At 40.8% G+C, this 16,281-nt stretch overlaps 1 annotated feature.

Moving 5' to 3' along the window:
* Positions 201 to 401: a silencer, noted in NCBI's record as "peak1252 fragment used in MPRA reporter construct". NCBI's record gives its function as "represses an SCP1 promoter by STARR-seq MPRAs in K562 erythroleukemia cells {active_cell/tissue: K562}" and the evidence as "EXISTENCE:reporter gene assay evidence [ECO:0000049][PMID:32103011]".

Here is a 16,281-nt window from a genome sequence, read left to right as displayed (position 1 = left end):
AAATACTGCTAGTAGTTGGGGCCACAGATCTAAAATAGGCCCGTAGGCCCTGCCTTCACTCCTTCATGTGGCAAAGAAAACTGCTCAACCTACACAAGCAGAATATCTCTTTTCCCCTTCATGTCCCAGTTCCCCAAAAAAGGGAGGAAATCTTTCCCTCCCATATCCAACACCCCTTTTCTACTCCAGGATGATCAATGGTGGGAAAAGAAAGCATTTCCTTAAGAGAGAAATTCACTTCCTTCTCCCCACAGGAGTATATAATCTGACCGATGACTCAGACAAGAAAATGATGAGTCCAGAGTGAGTGACAATCCAGAGTGAGTTTCCCAAAGTTGTTTAGTCTTAACTAACACTTCACACAGAACATTCCTAGTTCAGTGCAGGTTGAGCTTGAAAGTACAACCAAATCTTTGTCATGGTATCTCCCGCCATGTGAAGTGGAAACAATCAGACCATAGTCCCTCCTTACATGGCCTCATTTCAGATTTTAACCTGGGTTTTAATCTCCTGTCAATTTACACATGAAGATATTAACATCCTCTGAGAACAAGTAATTGTCAGACATGGAATATTCAAATTCAAGAATAAGAAATAAAAAATATGTCTACGGAGGCATGGTTTTAAAGATGGACCCAAATTATATTCCTAAATACCTATCTGGGATAAGAAAAACACAGGTTTTTCTTATCTTTCACTCTCATTCTCATATCACTTCTGACACCAGATGTATGGGGACAGTTTCCCCTATATATTAAGCAATTCTCCAAAGAACACCAGCTGGGTGTCCTACAATTTAAGTCAATTCTGACACTATCTACTTGGAGACAGCATCAGATCCCACAGGTTAAGGGCTCAGTCTCACAAGTCTGCCCCACTTCAAATGCCAATTGCAAACCCCAGGCTGTGACCTGTGCTTCTAACCAACTGGCTATAAATCAGAGTTCCCCTGATATCTTCCTCAGGTTTGATTATTTTTCTGGATGACTCACAGAACTCAAGGAAACACTTAACACTTACCAGTTACCATAAAGGATATTACAAGGGATACAGATGAACAGTTAAATGGAAGAGGTGCGCAGGGCGAGGCATATGGGAAGCGGTTTGGAGAGAGTCCATGTCCTCAATAGGCATGCCACCCTCCTGGTACCTCCATGTATTCAACAATCTAAACCCAGTTCTTTGGAGTGTTTTTACAGAAGCCTCATTATGTAGGCATGATTGTTTACAATCCCTGGCCATTGGTGTTCAATTCAGCTTTCAGTCCCTTGCCCCGTCCCCTCCCTGGAGGTTGGTGGGGTAGTCCCAATCATCTAATCACACCTTGGTCTTTCTAGTGACCAGCCCACATCCTGAAGCTATGTAGGGACTACTAGCCACCAGTCACCTCATTAGCATACAAAAGACACTCTTATTACTATGGACATTCCAGGGGTTTTAGGAGTTGTGTGCCAGGAACCAAGAGCAGAGACCAAATACATATTTCTTATTATAACACAATATCACAATACCATTTGATATCTTAATCTAGAGTATCGCCATTCAGGTCATTGTGTAAATAAAGGAAATCTATTCAAAAGTTTTTTGAAACATTAATTAAATTAAATTAATTTAATTTAATTTAATAAAGTAAATTAAAATTTTCACTTCCAGGCCAGGCGCGGTTGCTCACGTCTGTAATCCCAGTACTTTGGGAGGCCAAGGCGGGTGGATCACTTGAGGTCAGGAGTTTGAGAGCAGCATGGCCAACAGGATGAAACCCCATCTCTACTAAAAGTACAAAAATTAACCAGGCATGGTGGGGTATGCCTGTAATCCCAGCTACTCAGGAGGCTGAGGCAGGAGAATCACTTGAACCTGGAGGCAGAGCTTGCAGTGGGCCAAGATTGTGCCACTGCACTCCAGCCTGGGCCACAGAGGGAGACTCCATCTCAAAAAAAAAAAAAAAATCTTTTCCAAAAACAGATATTAGTAGCATTTTTAAAGTGACATTTCACTATCTAAAGAACTAAAACCATTAGTCTCGCCAAGCGTCCCATTATATCCATCTTTTCAGCATCTGGAGCATTGACATGCATGTCTATAGTGGAAACCTCGTCCTTTTGTCACATATACAGAGGACACCTGATTCACTGATTAGTGTTATGTGACAGGGTGACAACAAATGTAAATAGACTAAACCATCACATTTTCCTTCCCAAGTCCATTTTATCTTTTAAGGTTTGACCCAGTGTTTTTGTTGTTGTTGTTGTTTGTTTTTTTGTTTTTAATATACTATGACTAGCTTTTCAGCAGAAGAAATTTTGAATCTATCTCCCAAAATTATTTGATTCTTGTAGGCAACTAGTTCTGCTCTGCCCCTTGAGTATCAGCTATTGTAGATGGCGCAGGACTGTCACAAAATTTGCGGCTCAGGTTGTTCTCATGTTATCAAATGGTCCTTGACACTGTCAAGTTGGGTGGGTGTTGTGCCATTGCTTTTCCCCCATCTGAGGGTAGTGCCATTTATAAAAATACTCTGAAATCTCTAATCCCCGCAATGACCACTCCTAACTGCTGCCTCCTTGAGCTCAACAGAGATTTGTGCTCCAACAACTTCTCTTACTAGCACCATAGCATGGATCTTTCTTCCTTCCACTCTGTGAACCTCAATAGTATGGCACCGCCTTTATCCCTCAAATGTATTTTTGTTTGTTTGTTTGTTTGTTTGTTTGTTTTGGAGATAGAGTCTTACTCTGTCACCCATGCTGGAGTGCAGTGGCACAATCACAGTTCACTGGGAGGATCACTTGACCTCCCAGGCTCAAGTGATTCTCCCACCTCAGCTTCCCCAGCACATGTCACAACACCCAGCTAATTTTTGTATATTTTGTAAAGACACTACAGTTTAGCCACGTTGCCTAGCTGGTCTCAAACTCCTGGCCTCAAAAGATTCTCCCACCTTGACCTTCCAAAGTGTTGGGATTACAGGCATGAGCCACCATGCCCAGCCTCAAATTATTTTCATCTTCTCCTTAATTATTTCCATCCATGTTGTGGGGCCAGGGATTGCCTAACTCCAGACAGGCTGTCACTCTTTTCTCCTTTGACTTCTTAGGTAACATCACTTTTTATGCTTGAGGCTGGCTTTGAAATGTTAATATCTTGTTAAGACTCCAGTCACATTTGAATGAAAAGGGAATTTTATGGGTAGATCTGGAAATCTATTGCTTATATCATCATTTTCATGAGAATGAATATTTCAAGTTTAAATATAAGTGGAAGGAGCTAGCTAGGGCTACCAGACATTTTTGCCAAGTCAGCAGACCTGTTAGAGAACCCTAAAGAAGAAACAGAAAGTAAGAAAGAAACAAACAGAGCCCACAGAGAACATTCAGGGAACATTCAGGGATCCAATAATGGACGATGTTTCTCCAGTGGCTCTTATGTAAACCCCTATCTCCTGCATACACTGCTGCACCTCTCCTTAGGTTAAAGCCCCTTCTTTCTCCCAGCCTCTGTTGCTCCCTGCCAGGACCTTTGATCCTTTCCAGCTTCCACTGTGAGTTGGATCAATTACAGTGTGTCTCCAGGTCATCGCTTAGCTTACTTCACTTGACAACTGGACATTTTCTGCTTGCTCCTCCAGATTTAATCTCCATCCTCCTCCATTCTAATCTGTACTCTGTGAGTCTTTTTTTTTAATTGACACAAATAATTGTATATATTTATTGGGTAAAAGATGATGTGTTTTGAAATACGTGGACATTGTGGGATGGCTAAATCGACTAATTAACCTGTGTGTGGCCTCACATACTTATCATTTTTTTGTTGTGAGAACATTTAAAATCTACTCTTTTAGCAATACTCAAGAATACATTAACTATAGTCTCCATATCGTACAATAGATTTATTGAACTTTTCTTCCTGATGAACTGAAATTTTGTGTCCTTTGACCAATATCTCCCCAGCACTCTTCACCTGCAGCCCCTAGCAATCACCATTCTACTTTCTGCTTCTATGAGTTCAACATTTTTAGATTCTACATATAAGTGAGAATCTGTGCCTGGCTTATTTCACTTAACATAATGTCCTCCAGGTTCATCCATGCTGTCACAGATAACATGTGACACTTTGTAAGTTAGTTAATGAGATGTCAGTATGGTCCATCTAAATATTAATGGAAGGCAAGTGCTCCCCTACTGTTGAACTTCACTTCTGAAGGCAGGTATCAGAAAAATAAAGGAGGAAAAAACTACAATGTATCTAACTATGACTTATGTTATTGAGAAATTAAAGTGCATATTGAAGCTGTCAATCTCAACATTGCCAACCATCATTCAAACATAGGATGTGTTTATGATGAAGCATCTTAAAGCATCCTGGGAAAATTACAATGATGACTCCCAACTTTCCATTAGCTAGGAATGTAAAGAGTTACAAATATGTGTCCAACCATAAAGATATTTGACATGAATATGTTGAGCTCTAAACAAGAAAAGTAATTTTGGACAAAACAATATCATTAAATGCTGAGAGAAGTTCTTCTATTTTAATAACTGAATTTAGGAAAAACAAGTCCCTCTGCTATTTGCTGGCTGGATTGGGCTAAGGGCGGACCTGGTTTTTGTAACTCTCCCCACCCTTCTTGGGATGTGTCCAGCCCAGTGGGCAGCCTTGTTCTGGAATATCCAGTTAAGCTGGATTGCTGTGGGGGGTGGAGTTACAGTTGCACTTTTTCAACCTAAGAACAGGATGCACCAACACAATCCCTGATTTTCCTTAATTTTTCCAGGGCCTTGATCTTCTTTTGGGATCCACAGAAAACTACCACTGGCACATGGGGGAGTTGATGGTGATAAATTCCAAGGGTAACTGGGAAGAAAAACAACCAAGATCCACTGGAGAAGTCAGTTATTGTTAGGTCAGGCAACATCAACACAATAGACATCTGTTCCATTGAGAAAAAAGAACTCTGTTGAACTGATGAAGCTGTCAGCATAAGTCATGCTCTTTGGGCATGTCATAAAACGACCTGACCTTCAGAGAGGAGGCTGGGGTATCAGAATCCTCATTCCTACCATCAGTGGAATCTGTCATGGTAGAATTTCTTTCCCTGTGTGGTTCCCCCAAATGTACACTGATTATTAACTTTTAAATTCATAGCTTAGGAACTATAGGAGGATCTAGCTCTGCACTGAAAATAATGAAATTCTGCTGGCTAGCCAACCCTCAGTTGTTCCAGATTCAACAGGTTTCTATTGGGTATCTATGCATGCAAATACCAGAGGTTCAACAGTTAACAAGACAGTCATGATCCCTGTGCTATGGATCTTAAGATCTAGTTGTCCTCCTGTTAGCAATATCACCGTATCAAGAATCAATCAACTGTTCCCAATTGACTGAGCTGGAATGAACTGCCCAATCCCCTCCATTTATCAATTTAAAAATAACTCTGAATAGGTTATATCTGTGTATATAGGGTTCAAAACTAATTAAAAGAGAGGACTAGAACCCAGGTCTACTGACTCCCAGACCTTCCCTGTTTGTTGATACTCTGCCCTCCTTTCTACCTACTCCCAAAAAAAGCTTAATTTCCCATGTAGAGTCCTTACACTGGTAAATGTCTGCTGACACATGCAGGAGTCAATGATTATTGACTCTGGCAAAAGCAATACGTTGTCTAGTATATTTACCAACTACTAGAACACAGTGGTGACATAAATTTGTTTTTCATGAAACTTTCTCTATTTCTGAAAGCAAAGTCCACTAGAAAGCCGAACTCGTGGAAAGTATTTCACATAAAATTGTATTTGATGGACATACTTAAAGGGCAAATATTAAATTATGGCTTTAATCTCTATTCTTTTATATATGTCAAGAAAGCCTCATCAAATCTTACCTTTCATATGCATGAAATATTCCTTTAAAGTTGGCTTATCAGATTACTAAAAGAACTTCTGTACCAAAGATTTTTTTAAAATGTGCTAGGCTAAGACAACATTGTGAGATATATTTAGGAGTAGGAAAAAAGGCTGAATTTCCCTTTTTTTTTTTCCTTCTTCTCCTTTCAGGGATCCAGTGAACTCAATGTCCTTTAGTAAATGTACCAGGTAGAGCAGTTGAATTCATGAGAAAATCATCAAGTAGTCAATATTCTGGTTGTCTCAAAAGGATTTCTTTTTAAAAAAAGAAGACCCAAGGAAAACACTATCAATAGAAAGCATTGAATGCTCATAAGGAATTTAGGCAATACCAGGAAAGTGTGTTTGGGGTGAGGGGAAGGGTGAAGAGGGAGAAGTGGAGAAATGGGAGGGTAGAGGGAGAGAGAAGTGGAGAGATGGGAGGGGTGGAGAGAGAGAGAAGTGTGGAGATGGGATGGTGGAGGGAGAGAGAAGTGGAGAGATGGGAGGGTGGAGAGAGAGAGAAGTGGAGAGATGGGAGGGTGGAGGGGGAGAGATGGAAGATTGGAGGGAAAGAGAAGTGGAGAGATGGAAGGGTGGAGGGGGAGAGATGGAAGGTTGGAGGGAAACAGAAGTGGAGAGATGGAAGGGGTGGAGAGAGAAGTGTGGAGATGGGAGGGTGGAAGGAGAGAGAAGTAAGGAGATAGGGTGGAGAGAGAGAGAAGTGGAGAGATGAAAGGGTGGAGGGAAACAGGGGTGGAGGGAGACAGAAGTGGAGAGATGGAAGGGGTGGAGAGAGAGAGAAGTGTGGAGATGGGAGGGTGGAGGGAGAGAGAAGTGGAGAGATGGGAGGGGTCGAGGGAGAGAGAAGTAAGGAGATGAAACGGTGGAGGGAGAGAGAAGTGGAGAGATGGGGGGTTGGAGGGAGAGAGAAGGAGATGGGGGTGGAGGAAAAGAGAAGTGGGGAAATAGGAAGGTAGAGGGAGAGAGAAGTGAGGAGATGGGAGAGAAGGGAAAAGGAAGTTACTTTCACTTTTTCTCTCAATCCAGTGGGGAAGATGTTGATATCAGTCCTATGTCATGGATGAGGAAATTGAAGTTCACATTTGTCGCTTGCTGAAGGTCACGTGACCAGAAATGCAAAGCCCGATCTGACTCATATTCTCCTAATTATAAATGTTACGTGCTTTCTATTACTCAGGCATTGCTACTCTTTCGGTTGTGCCAGGAATGGCATAACCAATATTGTGTTTGATTCTCACAGCAACCCCAGAAAATGAATGTTACTCTAAATCTCAAAATTAAGAAACTGCCTCAAAGAGGTTAGGTCATTTTGCATAGGGCCCCACAGTAAAAACAGCATTTAGCAAATAAGTGGGGGCAAAGCTCTGCCCTTTTTGTTACTTCAGTGTTTCCAAAACACACTCTGGGGATTTGAGGTGAAGAAATGCCACAATATCCTAATCCCTTTGAACAAGGTGATCTTTACATAAAGTTTGATGTGAAGTGTCCTGAAAACAACTGGAACAACCCAGACAAACGTTCTCAACTAGAAGATCCGCTGCCATCTAGATCAGAAGTTTCAAACACAATTGGAGAAAAAGTGGCGGTAGAGCTTCAGGAATGTGATAACACTTGAGGCTGAGGAGGTGGTCAGAGGCATGAAGCCTAAATCATAGCTCTGATGAAGAAAACAGCAGCCCTCATGTTCCTGGAGGTGTGTGCCTGCCCATCCGCAAACACTGCAAATGAATTGCACAGGAGGACTTTCCTTCCACACTTGCCTGATTTGTTCTCAGCGATCCCACTGGAGTGTCCCATCAATCCAGATGAACTGATGGACATCCATTGGTCTCTGCGTAACTTTTAAAATTGGTATAGTATCTACAGCGTGTATAATTGAAACTAACCACAAAGCTTCACATCTTCGTTTCAACTGTTCCATAGCAGAATAAAGCACTTGAAAGGAAATAAAACTCCCTTTCACATGTAGATTATAAGTTTCGATCCTGATATCTGTGCTTGATTTTTATCAGTTTTGTGCAGACTTTATGTCTCATATTTTAAATTCAAATCCCATATTGTAAAGTTTGTACAATTTATCCTGAAGCTTTGTGTTTGGCTGCACCTGAATAAGCTGCTACAAATAGAAGAAAGAATCTCATAGCCTGTATCTATCATTTAGATGTATGGGAAAAATAGGTCTTGCACACAATGAGTTTGGAGCTGAGTAGGAACAATGGAAAAAAATGACATTAGCTGTGGTTGTAAAGTTTTTTGTTTGTTTGTTTTTTACCATCTTGTGAAAGGTTTCTGAAACTCAATAACAAAAAGCAGTTGGTGTTTTAAAAAAGTTCTATTCTTAGAAGCCTGAACATTCTCTTCAAGAATTTTTACATTTTATATTTTTAAAGATAATACTTAAAAATTAATGGAAGCTTATTTTGAATAGCCAAGTAATGCAACAAAGTTTCAGTATAGGCTTTGTACTCATGTTTATTTATACTAGTGGTAACAGTGCTTAACTTCTAATGTGCTGACAAACATGTTTGGTTGCTATTAGGTCGGCACATCCTCATGTCAAAATGACAGCAATGCTCTCACATTTGTACCTAATACCTATTAGGTTTCTTTGTACATTGCACCTAGATACCAGTTAGCCAGCTATCTAGCACTTATCAAAAAGAAAAGTGCTAGACAATCACAGGGCATAAAGTCGTAAGGGGAGCTGAATTCAAGCTATTACCCAGGTTAACCATTGCACCAAAAATTAGATAACATGATTGCTCAATATATGAGCCCTCAGCGGCCAAAAAAATTCACAAAGACAATTGAAAGCAATGTTTAAAAAAATGACTAAAAAGATTGGGCACAGAGGTTCATGCATGTAATCCCAGCATTCTGGGAGGCCAAGGCAGGCGAATCACTTGAGCCCAGGAGTTTGAGACCAACCTAGGCAATATAGGGAGACCCCGTCTCTACCAAAAAACAAAAAAAGAAGTTAGGTGTAGTGGCTCATACCTTTAGTCTTAGCTCCTCAGGAAGCTAAGGCAGGAAGATCACTTGAGCCCAGGAGATTGAGGCTGCAGTGAGCCATGGTCATGCTACTGCACTCCATCCTGGGCAACAGAGTAAGACTGTCTCAAAAACAAAAAATTATAAAATTATAAACTTCATTAAGGCTTGTTTGCTTCATTCTCATGTAATTATTAAATTCTATAAATCAATGGGCAGTGACCAAAAATAGCTTTTATTATGTTTTAGAGTATCTTGTCTGTCACACTAGACTTTGCTGTTTTTGCCCAAGTATCCTGTTTACCTACAGGTAGAAAAACCCTAATGTTTATTTGAGTATCCACCCCTCCTTTATGCAGCCCATGTCTCTAGCAGATACCGTATTAGACAGCATATTAGAACATTCCCATCATTGCAGAAAGTTCTGTTGGATACCACTGATCAAGATCGCAACTGAGATTATATACTATTTATTAACATATTTTATAAGCTTCAAAGCACTTCTTTAAAAATCCTCATTATTATTTATTTATTTATTTATTTATTTTTGAGACAGTCTTGCCCTGTCACCCAGGCTGGAGTACAGTGGTGTGATCTGGGCTCACTGCAACCTCTGCCTCCTGGGTTCAAGCAATTCTCTCACCTCAGTCTCCTGAATGGCTGGGATTACAGGTGCAACCACACCCAGCTAATTTTTTGTATTTTTAATAGAGATGGGATTTCGCCATGTTGGCCAAGTTGGTCTCGAACGCCTGACCTCAGGTGATCCACCTGCCTCGGCCTCCCAAAGTACTGGGATTACATGCATGAGCCACCGTGCCTGGCCTCCCTTATTATTATGATTATTAATCATTTTAAGTCACAGGAAGGGAGTAATTTTCTACAAATAAATGGAGTCCTGTACAGAGCATGGCTATTTCCAATACTAGCTTTTAACACTTTAATAAAATGATCATTACTCAATTACTATTTAATCTCTGTCCATCTTGAAGACTTGTTTAAAATAGAATAGCTTCCTCCTAGAACATTATACAATTCTTCAGCTCTAGTTACTTTGTGCCTTTCCTGATTGCCCAACTTAAATATTGAAAACTATAAAGATACTTAATCAGGGAGCTTTGCTTCGGAGTTAAATCAGCTTGACTTTGAACTGCCAAACAGATTAGGAATGGTATATAGATTTTAACTATTAAAGTCCTAGTTTTCTATCATAGAGCTTTTGATTTTAGAACTATAACAACACAAATTCCCTGGTTACCTAAACTCATTCTCCAAACTATCCATACACAGGAACTGAATTCATCTGGATAGCAAGGAATAATTGTATAAAGAATAAAGCATGCCCCCGAAAGTTTTCTCCTTAGAAGTCTCTCCCATAGGGCCAAGAAACAATATTGGCCAATGACATTCATTCCATAAGAAAATAGATATCAGTGCTTTTTTTATTTTACTTTACTTTATTATTATTTTTTTTTGAGACGGAGTCTCGCTCTGTCGCCCAGGCTGGAGTGCAGTGGCGCGATCTCTGCTCACTGCAAGCTCCGCCTCCTGGGTTCATGCCATTTTCCTGCCTCAGCCTCCCGAGTAGCTGGGACTACAGGAGCCCGCCACCACGCCCGGCTAATTTTTTCGTATTTTTAGTAGAGACGGAGTTTCACTGTATTAGCCAGGATGGTCTCGATCTCCTGACCTCGTGATCCGCCCGCCTCGGCCTCCCAAAGTGCTGGATTACAGGCGTGAGCCACCGTGCCCGGCCTCAGTGCTTTTTTTATAAGTTCTTTCTGTGCCTTTTAAACACATATTGAAGGGAGAGAATCAAGTGGTTCTGATGTGTGCAATGAAGTCATTTATACCAATGGCGATTTAAAATAACGTATTTAGAAATGCAATTAAAAATAAAGTTAAAAATAAAGGCCGGGCGTGGTGGCTCTCGTCTGTAATCCCAACACTTTGGGAGGCCAAGGTGGGCAGATCACCTGAGGTCAGGAGTTCGAGACCAGCCTGGCCAACATGGTGAAACCCCATCTCTGCTAAAAATACAAAAATTAGCCAGGCGTGGTGGCACATGTCTGTAATCCCAGCTACTTGGGAGGCTGAGCCACAAGAATCACTTGAAGGCAGAGGTTGCAGTGAGCAGAGACCACACCATTGCACTCCAGCCTAGGCAACAGAGCAAGACTCTGTCTCAAAAATAAATAAATAAATAAACAAACAAATAAATAAATTTTAAAAATAGACTATGGGTCGGGCACAGTGGCTTAGACTCTCCTGCTTCTGGCTCCCAGGTAGCTAGAACTACCACACCTGGCTGATGTTGATATTTTGACCACCTCCCATGAATCATGAATGTTCTTTTTTTTTTTTTTTTTGAGATAGGGTCTTTCTCTGACACCCAGGCTGGAGTTCAGTGGCATGATCTCGGCTCACTGCAATCTCCGACTCCCAGGTTCATGCAATCCTCCTGCCTCAGCCTCCCTAGTAGCTGGGACTATAAGCATGCACCACCACACCTGACTAATTTTTGTGTTTTTAGTAGAGACAGGGTTCTACCGTGTTGGCCAGGGTGGTCTCGAACTCCTGACCTTAGGTGATCCTCCCAACTTGGCCTCCCAAAGTGCTGGGATTACAGGCATGAGCCACTGTGCCCAGCCTATCATGAATGTTCTTAACGGCATCTAAAATTGTGAATTATTTCCAGAAGTCCTCTGATTTTACTGTGCCCAGATTCAGCAGAGGAATCACTATCTTTGGCAATTATAGCCTTACAAACTGTATTTCTTAAATAATAAGACTTGAAATTTGAATTTACTTCTTCATCCATGGGCTGCAGAAGAGATGTGTTAACAGGCATAAAGACAACATCAATATCTTTGTGGATCTCCATCAGAGCTCTTGGGTGACTAGGTATGTTATCAACGAGCAGTAATATTTTGAAAGAAATACCTTTTTCTGAGCAGTAGGTCTTAACAGTGGGCCTAAAATATTCAGTAAATCATGCTGTAAACAGATGTGCTGTCATCCTGGTTTGACTGTTCCATTTATAGAGCACAGGCTGAGTAGATTTAGCATCATTCTTAAGGGCCCTAGGACTTGGGGAATGGCAATTGTGCAGGGCTACACCAGCCTTGTCCCTGGGTCCATCCTCCTAATTGTAGCCTATGGTGCTGGTAGGCATATCACTAGGACTAAGGTTTGCCTAAAGAGTGGCTGCTTGAAAGCAAATGGGTAAAACCTAGACATGCCCCAATGTCCACTAACACACGTAAGGCCCTTCATGTTGTAAAACAATGGAGGAAGGGGCATGGAAAAAAATACGGGGTGGACTATGGGTGGAGGTTGGAGGTGGGAGTTCAGCTCTCCCCATACTGCCGAATTCCAGAGGAAAACTAGAAGTCTCAGAATTCTAAATTTCAACTTCATGATAACTTCAGGTTATCATGAAGCCAAATTTGGCAATGCAGGAGAACGGTACATATTTTATTTAATAGTTTATTATCTGTTTAGACAAGGGATATGTGAGCCTCTATATTTATTCCTGCCCTGACCCTGGCCCCACAAATGTTAGGGGCAGGTCTGTACAAGGAAGACAAACCTCAAGTGAGATCAAGGGTCCTGTGGGAGCTGGAACTGGACAGAACGAAATCTCACCAGGAATGTGCAGAAATTCTGGCAAGGCTGTTCAATATGTGGTTTGAGCTGACATCTGGGTTACATTTAAATATTTGGAAAATATCAAAATAAGATAAGGCAAAATATGATAACACTGTACTCCATAAAAAGATGGTCTCATCCCCAGAAAACTTAAAATCGAATTAAAGAACATGGAAACAAAGTCAAAAACTACATTAGCAACAATTTATTTTATATTTTAAAGGATGAGAGGGACTATTGAATACACAAGCAAATTACATGCCACCTAAAACATCCAGAGTATTACATCTCGTTTTAGTTTTCCAGGTAATAGAGAAATGGTAAAAACCAGGTAATTGTCAGATATTATTTCGGTGGTCTGTGCCTGAATTTTCAACACAAAGCGTTAAGATGAGATGAGATTATGAAACCACAGTCACACCTCCATGTACACAGAAAACCACGGTGCCATAGGTTTTCTTCACAAGGCCATAGGAAGTCCTGATCAGCCAAATTCAGATCATACTTGCTTTCAGTGCTCATCACATTTTATTTTATTTTATTTTATTTTTTTTGGAGATGGAGTCTTGCTCTGTTGCCCAGGCTGGAGTGCAGTGGCGCGATCTCGGCTCACTGCAAGCTCCACCACCTGGGTTCACGCCATTCTCCTGCCTCATCCTCCTGAGTAGCTGAGACTACAGGTGCCCGCCACGACACCTGGCTAATTTTTTGTATTTTTAGTACACCGTGTGTTTCACCATGTTAGCCAGGATGGTCTCGATCTCCTGACCTCGTGATCCACTGGCCTCGGCCTCCCAAAGTGCTGGGATTACAGGAGTGAGCCACCGCGCCTGGCCCAGATTTTCTTTCTTATTGGCTAACTTCAGTGGCAAATGGAGACCAAGTTTGGCCAGGTTAATTAGGGGCAGCATGCAATGTACAGAGCATTGGTATAGAAGCCAAACTCCCTGAATGTTAGTCTCAGCTCTGAACCCTAACAATCTGTGTGACCTTAGGAGGCCATTAAACCTCTCTGTGGCTCATCTTTATTTTATTTTAATTTTCTTTTAGACAAGATCTCATTTTGTTGCCCAGCCTGGAATGCAATGGCACAATCATAGTTCACTGCAGCCTTGAACTCCTGGGCTCAAGCCATCCTCCTGCCTTAGCCTCCCCAGTAGCTAGACTATAGCCATGCACCACCATACCTGCCTACTACTTTTTTTTTTTTTTTTTTTTTTGCAGAGATGGTAGAGGGGGGCCTGGATCTGCTGCCCAGGCTGGTCTCGAACTCCTGGCCTCAATCAATCCTCTGGCCTTGGCCTCCCAAAAAGTTGGGATTACAGGCATGAGTCACTGTGCCCAGCCCTTCATCTTTAAATTAATGTGATTATGAAGCCTTAGGCATAAACATTCTATGGGATATATGAGTATGTTATTATTTTGTCTCTTTAAGTACAGCTGCTGATGGCATTACTTTCTATCACCAAAAGAACTGACATTTATATCACAGAATAAAAGAGGACACATAAACCAATTCTCATTTCTACTGGGGATAATATTGAAACTAGAGTTCAGAAGGAATCTGTATCAGTTATAATTAGTTGAGTTGGAATTAGAAAGTCCATGGATAAGCAAGGTTTTTAGGTGCACTTCTTCCTAGGTTTAATTTCAACAAAAGAAAATGCTTGCCCTTCTCAGTTACGTGAAGTCTAGGATCTTGTTTTAATTTCCCAAGAGCCCCCATGAGGTAAGTATTATTATTCCTTTATTAAATGTAAGTACCTGCTTCATGAAGTGAATTTAAAATAAAACCATGCATAAAAAAGTACTCAGCACGATCCCTGGTACATAATAAAAGCAATAAATGTTAGCTATTTTATATACATTCATACATATATATTTATATCTGTATATTATGCATATCTCATTTTTATTATGCATAATGTATTACATATGTTTTATTATCTGCACTAGTGGCTTTCAAATTGTGCTCCAAAGAAACAAAGGTTTTCATGGGATCTACAAACAATGAAATATTTGTCACTAATTATAAAAATTAATGAGGAGCATACTTATTGATTTTTTAAAATATATTTTATGTATTGCATGATCTGTGTAAGACTGCTAGAACAATGCATTTTGCTGCTAAAACTAGATTTTTAAACCACTGGTATAATATTCCAATCCATTAATTTTACTGGTGATAAAATGAAAACACGGAGAGCTGAGTTTTTTTAATTTTTGGCTTTGAACACGTTAATATATCTGTTAGGACATATTCAGTTGCAAATAACAGAAAATCCAAATTATCTGCCTTAAATAAGAAAGGCAAATTATCAATAACATAACTAACAGGCAGGTCCAAAAAGAGGGTCTAACTCAAAGTTGGCTTCATTCCACAGCCCAATGACATCATCATGGCCTGTCTTATCTGCTTTCCCCTGTGAGTTTGATCCTACACCTGGCTTCCCTCATGGATGCAACATGGCTGTAACTGTTCCAGGATTTAAAACCATCACAGGTCATTTACAAAGACAGTATGTTTGAATGTCAGCATTCCAAGTGAGAATTCTAACATTTACCCTGTTTAATTAATTTGAGTCTGAACCAATTACTGTTTCCTGGGGAATTGAATATGCCCTCCAGGGGACACCCTGGAAGTTGAGTTGGGTGTTGCTCAGCTTCCTCCAAAGCACACTGGTTTCAATGGATAGCTTATGTGCTCAAACAAAAGCCTGGGTATGGTTAGAAAGGAGAAAGAGGGAATGATCACTTGGTAGACAACGAACAAATGTGTCCTAAACTATGTGACTTTGGGTAAATTACTTCCCTTCTCGTACATATAGAATAAGATATTGGATTTGATGAGTGATTGCAAATGTGAATATGCAGCCAGGCTTGGTGGCTCAAGCCTGTAACATCAGCACTTTGGGAGGCCGAGGCGGGTGGATCACCTGACGTCAGGAGCTCGAGATCAACCTGATCAACATGGAGAAACCCCCGTCTCTACTAAAATACAAAGATTAGCTGGGCATGGTGGCAGGCACCTGTAATCTCTGCTACTTGGGAGGCTGAGGCAGGAGAATCACTTGAACCTGGGAGGCAGAAGTTGCAGTGAGCCGAGATCATGCCACTGCACTCCAGTCTGGGGAATAGAGTGTGGCTCGGTCTCAAAAAGAAAAAAAAAAAAAGAAAGAAAAAATTGGTAAATGTAATTTCCTAAATTTAAGCTCCTTTATCTAATCCCAGCAGAACTTTTGAAGCATTATCCCTGAATAATGATTTGTAATTGAACATGCCCCAGAGGCACATACAAGTAGAAGAATATACAATGTGTCACATAGAATGTGAGTCAGCAGGAAACCTAAATAAAACAAGGATTAGTACCAGCTTGCCCAGTTGCTCAGCCTTCAACAATGGCGTGAAGCCATTTCTGAATTTAGCTTCCCTGTAAATAGCTGCCTAATTCCAGAACCTCACATTAAGGAAGTTGGTGCATTATTTGGTTGGCAACAGTGGCATAGTGAGGGTAAAAGGCCCCAGGAGCCATGTAAAATATTTATGCCTTCACTATTTCAATGCTGCTACTTGAAGTGCTAGATTTTGCAGCATCTAGTGCCTTGTGGACTCCCATAAATCAGATCCCTGTATGTCTCACTGTGACCCATCTTCTCTTTTCTCTGATTGTCAGTGTCTGGTAGAAATGATCCCCTCAGAGAACTATTATTGGAGAACAAAACTCTACTATCAT

The sequence above is a fragment of the Homo sapiens genome, chromosome 11, assembly GCF_000001405.40.
Source record: "Homo sapiens chromosome 11, GRCh38.p14 Primary Assembly".
In the NCBI taxonomy this organism is placed as follows: domain Eukaryota; kingdom Metazoa; phylum Chordata; class Mammalia; order Primates; family Hominidae; genus Homo; species Homo sapiens.
Note: the sequence above shows the minus strand (reverse complement) of the source record. Positions and strands in the feature narration are given on the sequence as shown.